Below are 17,790 nucleotides of genomic sequence, written 5' to 3' on the forward strand. Positions count from 1 at the left end.
AGCTGCAGCCTAACAACTCTGCTGCCATGAAGGCTCACAGCCTTGCAGAGATGCCACACTCCCCAGCTCCTCCAAGTGCATCCTGACCCCCTGCTTCCCACCATCTCTGGAGTCCCCTTCCTTGTCAGCACGGCCAGGCCAGGTGAATATCTTCACCCACATTCAGAATCCTGCCCACATCCCTGCCTGCCATGGGATGAGGTAAGAACCCAGGCTGTTTCCTTGTGCCCAGGAGAACGAGGATATCCACAAGGGATCTGGGCCTGAGACAGCAAGCTAACACAAAGGCCGGGAGTGTCACTCTCCTCTCTCACCACCCTTGGGGGCATACCCGTGTGTGCCACACACAATCTGACTACACTCCACACGTATGTTCAGTTTTCCAGCTAGAAGGGAGGCCACAGATAGATTAAGCCTAGTTTTGAGAAACAGACAGGGTTGGATTCAAAGTTCAGCTCCACCCCTTCCTAATTGTGTCATCCAGCAAGTTACCTGACTTTTCTGATCTTCACTTGTCTCATACATCAAATGAAGAATAATAATGCCTACCTTTCCTGATTGTCCTGAAAAGTGAATGAGATCATACATACAAAGAATCTGTCCCATGTCCACATGGCACATTGTAAGCACATAGAAAACAGTAACTGCTATTGTTAGTTAAAGCAGCAGTCACAGGCAAAGGTCTAAAGGTCCTGTGAGGTAGCAGGTCAGGGTGGAGCATAGCAAAAGAGAAGGCCCACAGCTGTGGAAAAGGGGCAGCCCCAGCCCAGCTCCTACAAACCATGGCCTGCAGCAATGTGCTTTGCAGGTTTCTTCTAAAGAAGCTGAAAATCTGAGTTTTTTTTTTTTTTTTTTTTTTTTTTGAGACAAAGTCCCGCTCTGTCACCCAGGCTGGAGTGCAGTGGCACGATCTCGGCTCACTGCAAGCTCCACCTCCTGGGTTCACACCATTCTCCTGCCTCAGCCTCCTGAGTAGCTGGGATTACAGGCATGTGCCACCACGCCTGGCTAATTTTTTGTATTTTTAGTAGAGACGGGGTTTCACTGTGTTAGCCAGGATGGTCTCGATCTCCTGACCTCGTGATCCACCCACCTCGGCCTCCCAAAGTGCTGGGATTATAGGCGTGCGCCACCACGCCTAGTGAAAATCTCAGCTTTTATATAAACATTTTTAATTTTTAAATGTGGCAATTAATATACACATTGAAAAGTCGCTGTGAGGGTTAAACACAACATGTCTGCAAGCCAAACCCAGCTTATGGGCCACCAGTTTGCAACCTCAGGGGAAAAGTGTGAACTTTTTAAGGGTGGGGCAATGGTTTCTATTTCTGCTGTTCTTGCACAGTGCTCAGTGTATGTTTCTAAAAGATGGAAATCCCTTCAATTGACCCCTTCTTTGCTCTGGTGCAGAGCAGGGGAAGGGACTCAGGAACTCCCAAGTGATGGGAAGGAGGTGGGATGGGGAGCATGCTGGGATGAAGGTCAAAAAGTCCTGCTGGTGCTAGTCGGAGGAGAAAAAACAGAGGTGTGAATTTCCACTTCTCTCAGACCAGTCATGGGTTAGGGAAACCCAAGGGAATCAGGTACATCACTCTTAGGAAACATGGGGACAAGAGAGCACAGGGTCTTCTCACAGCCCAGAGCTGGGTGAAGCTCCGGGTGTGTGTAGGGCGAAGTGTGAGTCTACCTTGCTAGCCAGTGACAGGCAGGGGCGGGGGGCCCGTCGAGGACTCTCCAGCTTGACGATGCTGATGAATCCAGGCTCCAGATTGTCGTCATCACTGGCATTGCACAGGTACAGCGGGTGGGACTGCAGAGAGAGACAGACTTGGGTTAGGGAGGCTTTAGGCAGCAGGAGTGAGCTGTGAGAGCCATATACCTCTCCATTTTTCTAGGGAGGTACCAGGCAGGTCTCTTGGTGCTGTAAAAGAGTAGGCCTTATGATTGGATTGCCTCTTAGTAAGCTAGTGACCACTGTTTGTCACTTCAGGATGCTGGGGCCAAGGACACAGGTAGTGGAGGCAGATAGGAGGGAGAGGGTGTCCCAGAGGGGACCTAAATGAAGAGCTTGCTGCAAAGCAACTCTAACAACCTTCAACTCCAACAATCCTACTTCTCTAAACTGGCCAGACGCAGAGGGCTCCTCTCCTGGCCCCAGCCTCTCTACCTCCTGATCCTTCTACCTGCTCCCCAAGCCCCAGGCTAAGAGAATATCCATGTGTGCCTGCATCAGTGCTTTCAGAATGCCCATGGGCAGTGCTGGATGCTGCTGGTGCCTCCTGCCTCCTCGGGATGCCCCCAGGCAACTGTTGCCCTGTAGATTCCCATTTCTCAGGAGGCTGGGTCATCTCACTCGGTGCTACCTTGCTTCTCTCACTAGCCCCTTTTTTGCCTCTGCCCTGTACCCATCCTGGGATCAAGCATGGTGTTGACAGAGAGGTGAGACTATCTTGCAATGAGGCTTGGCTAAGACATAAGCTTTGACAGCTCACCCTGGTCCCAGGAATGATGCCGTGGAGGTGGAGCCAGCCCAGCCCATCTGCTCTAAGGGCAGATCCTGTCCAAGACCCTGTGCCTCTGAGCCCAGCTGGTGCTGAACAATGACTAAAGGAGAACGTGCTGACAGAAATCTGAGGCTCTCCTCATCAAAGGGGTGAGACCACCTTACTCTCTCTTCTCATTCACAGCGATTTGTACACCCATTTGAATCTAATTTTCCCTAAACAAAATGTCAGAGTGCAATGAGAACAAAGTATGACTTATTTGGCCCTGAATAATCCTATGGTCCAGGGACTCCTATATAGTAGAAACCCCACATATCCTGGCAAGAAAGAGATTTCTTATTAGAGAGCTGCCCACACTTCCCCCTCTACTACTGTTGATGTCTGAAGGACTTCCAGAAAGAACCATCAGAGGAACCACAGAGAATCTTGAATTTATAAAGATGTTTATGAAGATAATGTCAATGATGGATTTAAAAGCACACTTTCTGAAAGCTCTTTCAGGCTATTTCCTCTCACTGTGTCACCGCGGTCCCTTGAACATAGTAGGTTCTCAATAACTATCTACTACCTTGCTTTGAATCAAAATCTCTGGGCAGGGGGTGTTGAGATAGGAAGGAGTTCCATTCTTGCTCCCAGAGTTTAAGGCCTACTAGTCTGGTAGTGAGCAAGGTTTAGTGTGGGAGAAAGGTTATCATGTGCCCCTGCCCCAAGAAAAAGGCTGGGGCATGAGGGTGGAGTTGTTCTTACATCAGTGAAGCTGTAGCCCCTGTCTCAACAAGCTGCATTAGTCTCTCTATCTGTCCATGCATCCATTCATTTCTTTGTTCTGCCAGCACGGAAGGCCCCCTTGGTGTCAGGCTCTGTCCAATGCAGTGAGGAGCTAATGATGAGTAAGAGAGGCTCCTTGCCTTAAAGCAGCTCAAAAGACAAGCATGCAAACACATCGTGATGTTACAATGCAAGGGGCCTATGGGAGGGCACAAAGAGGGGCAGCTAACAATACATATGGGAAGCAGAGCAGTTTTCACAAGAGGTGACTGGAGAGCTACCTGGAAGGCTAACTAGGTATGTGTTCACCTCAGGGACCAATGAAAGGGAGCGGGGTTGGGGAGCCACATTCCTGGCAGAGGAAGCCACTGCACCAAGGAACAGAGGCCTAGCACGAGGCTGAGGTAGACTGTGGGCAGTGAGGTCTGGCACGAAAGGGAAGGCAGGACATAAGGCTGGAAGGATCTGCAAGAGTCAGGCCACAGAGCTGAGACCACAGATTTGCACTGGAGACCAATTTCTCTGAAGACTGTGGAGGAGACTCTGGTGTGGTGGGGAATCTGAAGGCAGCTGCTCCACCAGAGCAGAAGATGGAGGCCTTCCCTGAGGAAGGACAAATCGCAGCCACAGAAGGTTCTGCTCTGCTTGCTCCTCGACCCTCCCCACATGGTCCAGCCTTCTCCTGATGACTCCAAGATGCCGCTCACTGACCAGAGGGTCGCCTGGGAGAGGAAAGTCACTTTGGAGAAGTTCCTACAGTGTGTCTGCAGATATTTAAACAGCACTCTTCCCCAGGTTTGAACAGGGAACCAGCATCTACAGCTCAGTGCTGCATTGTAGGATACCTCTGACAAGGTGGAAGGGAAAAAAAACCTGGTATGAGCCACCAAACTTGCCTGGTTCCGAATTAACAACTATGGAAGAAGGAATGGAAGGAAATTAAACATCAATAAAGGCCTCTTGTGTGCCAGAGCTTTTAGACATTATTTCACCATAAGGTAGGTGTTATAGCCATTTTTAAAAACAATTATTTAATTTTTATGTGCACATAGTAGGTGTATATATTTATGGGATACATGATATGTTTTGATATAGGCATGCAATGTGTAATAATCACATCATGGAGAATGGAATATCCATCTCCTCAAGCATTAATCCCTTGTATTACAAACAATTCAATTATACTCTTTTAGTTATTTTTAAATGTACAATAAAATTATTGTTGACTATAGTCACCCCATTGTACTATCAAATACTAGGCCTTATTCATTCATTTTAACTTTTTTTTTAAAACCCATTAACCATCTCCATCTCCCCACTACCCCTATCATAGCCACTTAAAGAAGAGAAGCTTGAGGCTGAGAGAAATCAAGGTCACACAAGATTTGAACTCAACTCTGCCTGACTCCATTGTCGGAGCCATGGAGCTCCAAATGAACCCTCCATCCAGCAACCCTCCATCCATCTCCATGCTAATGATAGTCAGGATGGGGACAGTACAGTTTATATTTATTGGGTAAATACTGTGGGCCAGTGATTGTTCTATGCACTTTTTCATATTAACTCTTTTCATCCTCATAACAACACTATCAGGTAGAGATTGTTATTGTTCCCATTTTAAAGATGAGGAAACTGAGGCACTAAAAGGTTAAATAACATGCCCAAGATTACACAGCTAGTAAGTGGTAGAGATTAGAAAAAAAAAGGAAAGTAGTAGTAGGATAAGGTTAAAAAAATATTTAAGAACAATTTACATTTTATTTTGAAAACATGATACCTTCCCCGAACTCATTTACTAAGAAAATTTATCTTACTAAAGCATAAGGACCCAAATACAAGTCCCTAAAATGTTGATGGTGACCCCCGGGATTCTTAGACCCTCCTCTCTTTTCACTCTTCTTTTTTTTTTTTTTTTGAGACAGAGTCTCGCTGTGTCACCCAGGCTGGAGTGCAGTGGTGCAATCTTGGCTTGCTGCAACCTCCACCTCCTGGGTTCAAGCAATTCTCCTGCCTCAGCCTCCCAAGTAGCTGGGACTACAGGCGCCCGCCACCATGTCTGGCTAATTTTTGTATTTTTAGTAGAGATGGGGTTTCACTATGTTGGCCAGGTTGGTCTTGAACTCCTGACCTCATGATCTGCCTGCCTCGGCCTCCTACAGTGCTGGGATTACAGGCATGAGCCACCGTGTCTGGCCCCCTCTTTTCACTCTTGATGACTTCTCTGGGTGACAGCAGCCAATCCCATGGCTACGGTGCCCACACAGAGGTCAGTGATTACATATGTACAGTTTGGTCTTCTCTTGAGCTCCAGACCCTTATGTCTAACCCTGGACGTTTCTACCTTAATAATCTTAAGTAGAACACCTCAAACTCAGCATGCTCAAGACTGAACTCATTCTATCCCCAAAACTGCTCCTCCAGTGTTTGCTGTCTCTGGGATTGGAACCATCATCCATCTATTACCCAAGCAAGATGCTGTCCTCCTAGCCTCCATCTCCTTCACCCCCACTCTAACCACCAATATCCAATCAATCGCCAAATTCTAACAATTCTACCTCCTAAATATTTGTCTTATTTTATTCTTTCTTCCATTCTCACTATCGCTATTGTAATACAGGCCACCATCACTGCCAACCCTATTTACCGAAATAACCTACTCCCTAGGGTCACTTCATCCCATTCGTTCTCTATATTGCAGCCAAAGTGGTCTAAAATGCTAACTTGAGCACGTTACTCTTCTACTTGCAGCTCTTACAAGGCTCCTCATAGCTCCTGAAATAAAGTCTGTACTCTTAAACATAGCTGAAAAGGCTCTGCCTGGTCTGGGCCCTGCCTCATGGCTTAACATTCCCATCCTATATCTCTTCCCACCTTGCGACCTATGTTCCAGAAATAATAACTTGTTTCATTTCCCTGAACACCTTTGGCACTTGCTGCTCTGTCCGGCATTTCCCTAATCATACATTACCCCACGGTATTGTAATTGTCGGCTTACTTCCCTCTCTTCTCCAGATGATGACTGAGTCTAGCCTGCCCCCCACTGCCTGTTACTTTGTGGGCACTCAATCAATATTTGTTGATTAAATATTGGAAGTCTATAACCAGATAATTGACGATAGTTAACTATGAAGACAAGACAGAGCACACCCAAATCCTATAATGGTTGCTCTGGGAGAGGAATTAGAGAGGGGGTAGTAGAGAGGGACTTTGGTGTTTTGCTTTGAATACTTTGATCAGAAGATAATACATGAGATTTGAGTTTTGTTTTTTGCTGTTGTAGAAGAATAAAAAAGAACGACAGTTATTTATATTTTGTTCCATGTCTTTTCCCTCCTTCCCTTCCAAGAAGATGGCTTCACCTTCTATTTCCTTGCCTTAGGGGCATTTGCCAAAAGCAAATGTTGTTTAAAGTTCTCCCTTCCTGGCTTTTGCAGAAAAACTGAACTCACTGAGGAAGTGTGAGTGTCCTGAAGGCAGAAGGGCCTGTGGTGAAGGGAGGGGTCAAAGTCTCAGAACCAGGAGGGCAGGAAGGAGGTGTCTGGAGCCAGTGTGAGGGGCCTGGAGCCATGCTGAGTAGTGGGAAGCTGCAGCCTGTGCCCCAGAAGCGGTGGGTCCCTGGAGAAGGACTGAGTACTAGACCCCAGGAGGCTGGCCCCTGGGAGAGATGATGTGCCTGCGTGGATTTCAAGGGAATGCCTGTGTTTGGACAAGAAACATATCTGTGGTGGCCAGCATGGATGAATATCAGAGGGGTCCCTTGGATATCTTGGTTTTCATAAAACTCTGGGACTTTTGTGCTACTCTATGAGGAGAAGTGCCCTTGAAAACAAATGTCTATGCAGCTAATGGGATAGGACCTTGGTGTTAGATTTGATAAAAAAAATAAATAAATAAAGTAACATGATCTTTCTAGTACAATTATATCTGTGGTATGACAATCATACTCATTATACTTTTGTATGGCTTGACTCTTTTACAATGAGAGCTTTTCAAATATTCTCAAATTAAAAACAAATAATAGCCATTTGAACTAGGACTCAGTTCAGCACCTAGCAAGAAAGACAGCATTGGCATTCCCTGGGTATAACACAGGGGCTGTCTTTGCCCTTCCTCCAAGGAATTTTCAGCCAGGAAGCGGGCTCTTGAGAAAACAGATGCAAATACATCTGTCTCCTTGGAATGCAAGGTCTCCTAATCATGAAGATGCAAACACGATTTCTACAGTGGGCCACCTGTCCCCTCAGTGACACCAGGGGAGGGTCAAGAGAAATGAGCTTGCCTGATTTGAGAAGGGTGTGGCTGTGGAGGGCTCATGGAAACTTGGTGAATTTGACTTCCTCAAAGGCCAGGAGTTAGGACACCACTGTCTCACAGGCTGCCATGAGGGGCAAATTAAGAGGCACTTGCTTTCAAGCACGAGTTGGGTCATTCTGACTCAGAATTCAGCTTTGCATACATATTTTATACCCCCTGTGTAAAGACATGTGAACTGTCCTTCGGTGGTGTGTGTTGTATTTCATATTCCTGAGTCTATTCTCCCTGTGTCCTCCTTAACTTATTTGTTCTGATTTTTTCCCCTCCCTCCCAAGACAGACCTAGAGTTCAGATTCTGACCCCATCATTTACCTGTGTGACCTTGGGCATGTTAATCTTTCTGAGCCTCATATTGCTCGTCTTTGGAATGGGAACAAGAATGCTTTGTGTAGACAGGAGATAATGGATATCAGTGCCTAGCAAAAAGCCTGACACTTAGTAAGTGCTCACTTAATGGCAGCTGTTTTTATTACTGCATCTATAATAAAGTCCCTTCTTATTCCTGGAAGGGACAAGGCCTTTTCTGAACCCCTCCCCCGTTCTTTGGTAATCAACAGTGCTTCTGAATGCCAGTGTTCTGCAAGGCGCATTCTGGGACAGCTCATTATCCACAGTCACTTCCCTCCTGTTCTCAGCCCTCCAAACCCCACTGAACAAGCTCTTCCAGTTCTCAGCCTGCCTCCTTCCCATGAAGGAAGCCATGTGATCTCATTACCTCCTCACAAAGGGCATTTCAGGGCTCAACTGGGCCTGGAACTTAATGCTGGTCTCCCCTTATCCATGGCATCTCCTCCTCTTTGGGTGTGTGCTTCTGCAAGCAATTCTTCACTGTCTCCTGTTTCCCAGGAACTCTCCTCCCCACCCACCCACCCACCCCCTCCTGCCCCCACCACCGACCTCTGCTGCAATTGTCTCTTAGTTCTCTGATTCCACGTACAGACCTTCAACCAGGCCTTGGACAGGTAACTTTACTGCTTGCTACAATTTTGCCTTTGTAATCAAGAACATTGGCCAGGCATCAAAGGCATCATTCTCCCCATTTCCTCTTTTCAGATTTTACAATCATCCTTTCCTGCACAACCTCCATTACCTGAACTTTTATCTTAGGTAGGAGGACACACCGGCATCATAAAGTAAAGCTCCTGCAGATATGGGGGTGGGAAAAAAACAGGTTGGCCTGAAGTTGCTTCTTCCGGATCCCGGCACCAGAATAGGCCCACCACTGAGGCCCAGCTTGGTCACCTTGCCTTGTATTGAAGGGAGTCAATGCTCACATCTACAGGTTAGATCCTAATGGTGATTGTTCAGGCTTAGATTTGGGAACCTCAAGACCTCTTTCAAAACCTTACATAAACTTGTCACTATCTCTCTGAGATGACTGAGTTTCCACGAATCAAGTTGGGAGGCTGGGGAATTGTCGAGAGGAGTTTCTCTTTATTTTATTTTATTTTACTCTATTTATTTTTGAGATAGGGTCTTGCTCTGTCACCCAAGCTGGAGTGCAGTGGTACAGTCTCAGCTCACTGCAGCCTCAACCTCCTGGGCTCAAGCAATCCTCCTGCCTCAGCCTCCTGAGGTGCTGGGACTATAGGTGTGCCTCAGCAGCCTGGCTAATTTTTGTATTTTTTGTAGAGACAAGGTTTCACCATATTGCCCAAGCTGGTCTTGAACTCCTGGGCTCAAGTGATCCTCCTGCCTAGGCCTCCCAAAGTGCTGGGATTACAAGCATGCTATCTATTTTTTAAAAATTATTTTACCAGAAAAGTGTATTCCTGCTTCATCGTATAATTTTTTAAGCTACAAAAGTAAATAATGTTGGTGGGGAGGGAGAAGCATAACCTCGGGCCATCTGATGGGAGTGCACACTAGCAGGGGATGGATGAAGAGGCCTCCATGATTTCTCACTTGATTCAGGAAACCTCCTTGGGGGAACAGGGGTGCTGGTGAGCGAAAGAGCTGACAAGATAGAACTGAAATGATGTTCCAGAATCTAATAGGAAGCAGGGTGGCAAAAACTGAGGGAAAAACTGAGCTCACTGAAACTCCAGTCGGGGGCTCTGCATATCATAGGCCCTTAGTGTTTGGTGAAAGAATGAATAAAACTTGATTTGAATCCAGTTGCCACGTAGTTTATAGAAGAGATGTAAATTGCTAACAGCTGAGCCTGGTTCACACCCATAATGGACCTTCAAAATTTGTCTTTTACAGCTGAAGAAAGCAAGACTCAAGTTACAGATTGCCCACCTAGTTAAAGTTAGTCAACCTAGTCAACACCCAGTTAAAGGAGGTTGAGGTCCCCTAAATTCAACCCCACACTGCCTCCGGGTATGCACGCTGGGGAGGCTTTTCTGTGGCATGGTAAGCATTAGGTGAGTACTGTAATATAATGCCTGGGATCACAGTGGAAGGCTTCAGGGTCCCCATTTCTAGAATTTTCAAACTTGAATCATTCTTAACAAGACAGAAGCAGGATCTGTCTGCTCCTTGTGCTCTGCCTCCCAGCCTCGGCTTCCTTCCTCTCCTCTACGGTTTATCTCATCTCCTCTCCTAGCCACAACAAAGGCAGCCAGACCCAGACGCTGCTCAGAGACACTTTCCCAGTGAAAAGTCCCTGTTGCTTTAGGATGAGAAAGGTGTGTCCTGAAATTAGAGGTCACAGAAGCTCAGACCCAAGTAATGGTCATTCAGCCAGACTGCCATTTTCCTTACTCCTTCACCCCACATTACAGACGCCATTCTTCAATTTCCAAATTCACCTATCCTCATTTCAGACTGTGCTGGAGCTCCATGATGCAACTAGGCTTCTTTACATGAAAACGGCCCCCATGGTGGGGTTCTCCTGACCCCACACTCTGCCTGGCATCTTTCTATGGTGATTCACAGGTCAGGAGTGCACTCGTAAGCAAATGGAAGAAGGTAAGGAGAACAAGAGCTAATTATCTGAGCTGCTTTTGAAATAAAGTGATATCAGAGAAGAAAGTATATTTGGCACTAATCATAGACAGGAGAAAAATCCCAGCCACCCAAGAAGTAGAACTTTTATATCATTATATTCTCACATGGAAACAGGGTTTGACCTGACTCAGTCAGAATGACCTCTAACTACAAAGGTACTAGAAAGCTACTCATGAAGTTAGAAGCAAAGAAGAGGGAGCCCGTCAAATATCATTTTAGTTACATCAGGGATCTTTAGAAGCAAGGCCATGAAATAGAATACCAAGTTCTGAGGCCTGTGAAGATCAAGACCTTAAAAGATAACCCAGTCATGTGTTCTGGACTCCTTTTCTCCACCAGGTGAGGAACTCAGGGCTCAACCATCCAAAAATCATACTAATTAGTTCTGGGAAGTCAGCTGAGTTCTGACCACTGTCCCAGGAAAGATCTTTGTCACCCTCACTGACCTCCATCTTATAAGGAGTACCACTGAGCCCCCTTGTTTAGCTAGGTCTTATCCAAAGAAGTCCTCTGCAGAAAGGCCGAGGTCTTGACACAGATGGCAAGTATTGCTAGGGGTAATATCTAATTCCCACAGGCCCAGGATAAGGTCTATAGAGGCTTTGTCTAGGGCCCTTCTGAGGCATGGTCTTAACTCTTGCCACAACAAAGTAGTTAACTGAACTCTCACACCTAACCCAATGTGCTACTTGCAAACAGCCTTGACACAGTTTGCTTTATTATTTGATTTTGCTGTTCCTGTTCCAGCCAAGCTCACACCAGAGATGGCAGGAATCTGAAAACCTACTAGAATCAGATAAGTGTTTATTTTTGAGTAATTATTTAAGATTTCAATGCTTAAAAGGCCAAAGACTAAAGCCAGACAGTCCCTGTGAAAAACACCAAAGAAATGAAACTTAAGGAAACCAGATCATTTATTTAAATACGCCAGAGGCCCATCTGGACTACCGGCAGAGCTACTTGAGCATTGCTAAGTTTGGTGATTGCAGTGCAAGAGTGCGAAATAGCTTCATTAACATGGTTACTTCACACATAGTCCAGGTCTTTCAGGCTTAGTCTCCTGCTCAGAGGCTGTAGGGATTTCAAGGTGTCCTGCAAACTCTGCTCCATACTGCTGTCTTCCACAACTGGCTTGCCCTGGGGCTTAGAAGCCCTTTGAGGGCAGATACTGTCTCCAAATGGGCTGGCTCAATGAAATCTTCTATGCTCAGATTTGCATTGGCACAATGCAAGTGGGGATGGAATGAAGCTATGAAGCTTGCTCGGCTAGTCCCAGTCCCCAGATCCTGGGCAGTAACACACAATATTGTATTTACATTGCAAAGTGGCAAAATTATGGAGGATGGGTCTGGGGTTCAATAAAGAAAACAATAAAGGATCATAGGGGTAGTTGTACTCAGAAATAACATCAGGAGGAAAAGGACAAAATTATTCAAGCCACCAGCCAACTCAGATGCCCAGAGTCTCTCCTCAGAAGCCATTGGGGGGTTGACATTAGGCCAAGAAGGCTTCTGTTCAGAAGAGGCAACAGCCAGGAAGGGCTTGTGTTGGAGATAGCCCAAGGGCTCCAGCCTGACTGCTGACAGCCCTTTGACCACAGCTCTGAATCTTTGTCCATGCGGTGGCCCTAGGGAAGAGGCCTGCTTTGGGGGGACTGTTTAATGATTTGCCAGCAAAGAACAAGGCAAACAGACTGCTGGCAGCTGCCTAGATGCAACAGGAGAGTGGATTTTTATTCCCACCCACAGTGTAGCCTTCCAGGCAGGGGATAAAAGAAAAAGTGAGATGGCTCTGGGAGAGCCTGGGAGGGATTGCCATTTGGGGCTCAGAATTTCACTGGGTCTCTATGGATGGTGCCTGTATATCTCAGCATTGGTGCCAGCTGGTATTTCCATCCTCTGAATATTTTAGAAATTCCCAATAGTAGCATCTCTTGCGCTCCTAGGAACTAAAAAGTAAGATATATAAATAGCCTTTTATGGCAGAATTCTAGGCATTAAAGAGAATGAAAGCAGAAAAACACTGTCTTAGCTCCTAAGAAGTCTTTTACAGAAAACATATGATGGGAAAATAGCTTGGTTCTCTGCCAAATTATTTTTCCTTTCTCTTCCCATGGACGTTTCCCTATTTCCTTGGTTCTATAGAGAAAAAAAATGGCACCTCTCCTATCCCCCTGTGATCCAAAGACTGTGAGAACTCCAATCCTATAGCTCTCTACCTCTTTTTGCCCTTGACTCCCCATGCCAGTTCAAATTGGGCCCTTCTCCAATCCTTTGACCAGCCCTCAGTCCCCAGAAACTAAATACTTTCCCTCATATATTCCCCTGAAGCCATCTATACAAAATTCTTAAATGACACTTACCTCTTACTGTGGGTCAATGCTGCATTGTGACCCACTCTCTTACCTATTTCCTCCAGCAGAATGCCTGATTCTTAGTGCAATAAAACATTAGTTCTTTCCTCCTTCCTGCAAAGTAGAATCTGAGCTCCTTGAGGTCAGGGACTAGGTCTTATTCATCACTTAACATCATGCCATGCACACAGTAGATATTAAGAAAAATGCATGTTGAATCATCTGTTTTAATAAACAGATGTGAGGTAAAATATATTTGGTGGTTGCTCTGTCATTTTATCAGGATATGATTATTTTCAGATTTCTGCTTTCTCTTCAGAAACTTTCTGTATACTCCCTGTAAGTTTCAGTTTCAAAGTCAGCTTTAGAGTATCTTGACCTCATCACAAGGCAGAGTTCTCTTCTTTCCTGTTCACCATCATGCCTAGATCTCCTCCACAACCCTGAACAAAACTCACTTCTTTCTGGAGAAGCTTCCTGTTTAATAACCCATCCCGTTATGCTTTTATTGTCTCCTCTCAGTATCAGTGTACTGCTGAGTTATGCATAACCCTGAATGGGGAAGAAAGCAACAGCCTTCTGCCCCAAAGGAACGAGTCCCGGTCTCAGGAGAGTAACACCTGCCTGTAGGCTACAGCAGTGTATACACGTGCTCAATGCACAGGGTCTTAAGGCCATTTGTTAGACAACACACAGGGCATGGGAATGCACAGAGCACAGCACATAAACACTGGGGTAATGTGGAATGATGGACTAACTTGCTCTTGCTGTATGGCTTTGAAGTACTCTCTTGTCATTTTGGGCCCTTCAGTCTCTCTCCCAGATTTGTTAAGTTATTTTTTGAGAGAAGCCATTTAGAGACTATTACAAACAATTAAAAAAAATCCCTGCAGTATTGACAGAAAGAAACTCTTGCTCCCCACTGGCTTCAGGCCATAGTGTCAGCTGTCTGCAGTGAACTTCAGTCCCTACCAAAATTTTATGAGGACTTGGCCCAGAGATCTGCACAGAAAAGTTCTGGGAAAGCTTAGAATCAGTTCACTCTGGATAATATTCCATATTTTTTCTGAGTGGGTTTTTCTTACCTTTGGTGGGATGAGAGATGAATTACATTTTTCCCCCGTCCTTTATTATTTGAAAAGAGGATGTATCTGAAGCCCAAGTTTTTTTGTTTGTTTTTCTTTGTTTTTGAGACAGAGTCTCACTCTGTCACCCAGGCTAGAGTGTGGTGGTGTAATCATAGCTCACTGGTGCCTCGACCTCCCAGGCCCAAACCTGGGAGGATCATACCTCAGCAACCCCCAAGTGGCTGGGACTACAGGAGCACACCACCAAGCCTGGTTAATGTTTTTAATTTCTATTTTTGGTAAAGACAGGGTCTCCCTGTGTTGCCCAGGCTGGTTTCTAAATCCTGGCCTCAAGCAATCCTCCTGCCTCAGCCTCCCAAAGGGCTAGGATTATAAGCATGAGCCACTGCACCCAGCTGAAGCCCAAGTTTTTTTGTTTTTTGCATTTTGGTGTTTTTTTCTTTTTTCTGTTGCCCAGGCTGGAGTGCAATGGCGTGATCTCGGCTCACTGCAACCTCCGCCTCCCGCGTTCAAGCGATTCTCCAGCCTCAGCCTCCTGAGTAGCTGGGATTACAGGCATGTGCCACCATGCCTGGCTAATTTTTGTACTTTTAGTAGAGATGGGGTTTCCCCATGTTGGTCAGGCTGGTCTCGAACTCCTGACCTCAAGTGATCTACCCGACTTGACCTCCCAAAGTGCTGGGATTACAGGTGTGAGCTACTGCGCCCAGCTAAAGCCCAAGTTTTAAAGTCTTCAGTTGAAGAGACATTTGATTCCACCACCCTGCCTTTGCTTCAGCTTCCCGGCAGCTTGATCAGCTCTCCAGCCTATCCTGCCCCTGAGAATGTATGTAGGCCACCTCATGCCAAAGGCAGTTGTATGTTCAAATATTCCAGACATCCTTTGACTTGCTCTTTGTGAACTATGAGCTCTTTGTTACTTCTTAATTGTTCAAACCTCTTTATTTTTCTTGCTAAGCGCAAATAGTAAGAGACACAAAAAGATAATCAAAGGCTGATAAATGAGAGAGGAATCTTCTCAGTTATCAAGTTGGCTCTGATGAATAGGAGTTCCTGTTCGCATTTGTCAGGAGATTCAGGGAGGTGCCATCACCACACTGAGTGGGTAAGGGAAGTACTTAGAGAGTTAGGGAGGGGAGCCAAATTCCTGGGTTGAGAGTTCACAGGGCAATGAGGATCAATAGCAGCACTTTTGATTTGTACACTGTTATCAAGGTACAAAGCAACACTACCCTTTGTCCTTTTTATTTTTACTCTGCTAATGGAACCCTTCACCCTAAATTAAGATTATTATTCAGCTTTGATGTTGCATTTTATATTAGCAAAGTGCTTTATAATCCTTCATTAGCTATTTTACTCTCCCTTTATTAGTACCACCCGTTCCACAAATTAGGTAACTAAGGCTTGAAGAGACAATGCAATGCATATTGGGCTTGTGACCTGGCTTCTGGGCATCGGTTTCAGGTACTAAATCTAATGAAGGGAGACTTGACAGACCACAGGAAGAAGCACAGAGTAAAAGGGCAGAAGCACGGACATAACAAGAGCTTTCTTGGGAACTAAACCTCCAATGACATAGAGAAATACTTCAAAATGTTGCTTTCTTTTGCTGGCAGTAAAATTGAGAGCTCTCATTAGCTTAAATGAAAAATGTGACTACCAAACACATCTTTAACAGGAAAACAGTTTTCTTGATTGCTGAATTTCCTCCCTAACAGAGTTGAAATAGAAAAATGAATGTGTTTGAACTTAATGGTGTCAGTTGTTTCCTAAGAAAGGGACTGATGCTACAGCAAGACAAACAGCCCTAAATTACTTCTGACCCAATAAATACGCGCTTCTTGACTCTTCACGTGTTGCTCATGACATAATACTATTCTAGTTCTTCCACTTCTCTGATTGTCCTCACTTGTTGCCTCTTCCTCTTACTTTTCTTCCTCTTCTTCTTGTTTAAATATGTATGTTTCCTAAAGATGTACTCTCTGATCTCTATTACCTCTCTTCTGAGGTTCTTATTCACTCCAGTATCTTTAATTATGATTTCCAAATTGGTCTCTGAAGTCAAATCTTCTATACTTCAAAATGCTTGTTAGACTTTATTTATTTGAAGTCCTACTGATATCTCAAACTTAAATATACCAAACCTAAATATCATATTCTCCCTGCACTCCACCCTAAGCCAATAACCTCTCTTAACTTAACCTATTTCAGTTAACGGCACCACCATTTTCCTAGAGACTCTGGCTGAGCAAAGACTATGCCATCACTTGTCTTTGGAGACCTATCTTTTCTATGTCTCTGGAGTTGGAACCATTACAGCAGACTTCTAACTAGTCTTTAGTCTTTCACCATTCTAAAGCTCTCTGTCATTTCAAGAACAATCTTCCTAGACACAGCACTGATCCTATCATTGCCCTGTTCAAATACTATCAGTGGCTGTCCACTGTCTTCTGAATTAAATTCAAACTCCATAGCCTATCAAATCAAGGCCTCGGTGCTCTGTACTGGTTTTGGAATCAGATAAGTTGGTTTTAAATTTCAACTCGGTTTTGCATTTCAACTCTATCTCTTCCAAGCTGTGGGTAACCTAATCTCTCTAAGTCTCGTTTTAAAAATGGAGGCTGGGCATGGTGGCTCATGCTTGTAATCCCATAACTTTGGGAGGCCAAAATGGGTGAATTACTTGAGTTCACAAGTTCAAGACCAGCCTGGGAAACATAGCAAGACCCCATCTCTATGAAAAATTTTTTAAAAATTAGCTGGGCACACTAGCACATGTCTGTAATCCCAGCTACTCAGGAGGTTGAGGCTGCAGGATTGCTTGAGCCCAGGAGGTTGAGGCTACAGCGAGCTATGACTGTGCCACTGCACTCCAGCCTGTGCAAGACCTTGTCCCTAAAAAAACAAAAAACGAAAAAACAACAACAAAAAACACCATGCAGCCGGGCGTGGTGGCTCATGCCTGTAATCCCAGCACTTTGGGAGGCCAAGGTGGGAGGATCACAAGGTTAGGAGTTCGAGACCAGCCTGGCCAATATGGTGAAACCCTGTCTCTACTAAAAATACAAAAATTAGCCGGGCTTGGTGGTACGCGCTGGTAGTCCCAGCTACTTGGGAGGCTGAGGCAGGAGAATCGCTTGACCCCAAGAAGTGGAGGGTTGCAGTGAGCTGAGATTGTGCCACTGCACTCCAGCCTGGGCAACAGAGAGAGACTCTGTAAAAAAACAAAACAAAACAAACAACAACACCGTGCAAGAAGATCATTGCGGAGATAAAATGAAGTAACATATTTAAAGTACCAGCAGTTCCTGCACATAGTAATCACTCAAAAGTATGTGTTTCTTCCCTTCTCCTCTACCTTTTCAGTTTCATCCCCACCTCTTCAATGTACCATACTACTTGTCCAAAATAAATTGGATTACTCACTATTCTCTCACATTCTCTTGGAATGCCTATTATTTCTGTTCTGTGACTTATTAAAATCCTATATATCCTTCAAGGGCAAGTTCATATGCTACCTCTTCCATGAAGAATCTCTTCTTCTTCATCTGAAATGCCCCAAATATCTCGTTTGTATCTATGTGTGGTAATTTTCACCTTTTGCTTTATATTCTTTTTTTTTTAATAAACAGAGATGGGGTCTTGCTATGTTGCCCAGACTGGTCTCAAACTTCTGGCCTCAAGTGATCTTCCTGCCTTGGCCTCCCAAAGTGCTGAGATTACAGGTGTGAGCCACCATGCCTGGCCTATACTCTCACTTACTAAATTGAGGGCAGGGGTTTCTTTATAATCCCGCATAGCACAATGC

General features: G+C 45.1%; 1 protein-coding gene across 8 annotated transcripts in view, besides 1 other annotated feature; it reads right to left on the bottom strand.

The window, feature by feature from the left end:
- The window catches only part of RNF43 (ring finger protein 43), a 65,035-nt gene that overhangs the window by 16,724 nt on the left and 30,521 nt on the right, over window positions 1-17,790 (bottom strand). For all 8 annotated transcript variants that reach the window (XM_047436332.1, NM_001438822.1, NM_001305544.3 and 5 more), the window contains one exon: window positions 1,688-1,810. In XM_047436332.1, the coding sequence (XP_047292288.1) occupies window positions 1,688-1,810 (123 nt within the window). The remainder of the gene's footprint in view (window positions 1-1,687; window positions 1,811-17,790) is intronic.
- Window positions 13,083-13,212: an enhancer, noted in NCBI's record as "active region_12482". NCBI's record gives its function as "activates an Ori minimal core promoter by ATAC-STARR-seq in GM12878 lymphoblastoid cells {active_cell/tissue: GM12878}" and the evidence as "EXISTENCE:reporter gene assay evidence [ECO:0000049][PMID:35858748]".

Source organism: Homo sapiens, chromosome 17, assembly GCF_000001405.40.
Source record: "Homo sapiens chromosome 17, GRCh38.p14 Primary Assembly".
NCBI classification, from domain to species: Eukaryota; Metazoa; Chordata; class Mammalia; order Primates; family Hominidae; genus Homo; species Homo sapiens.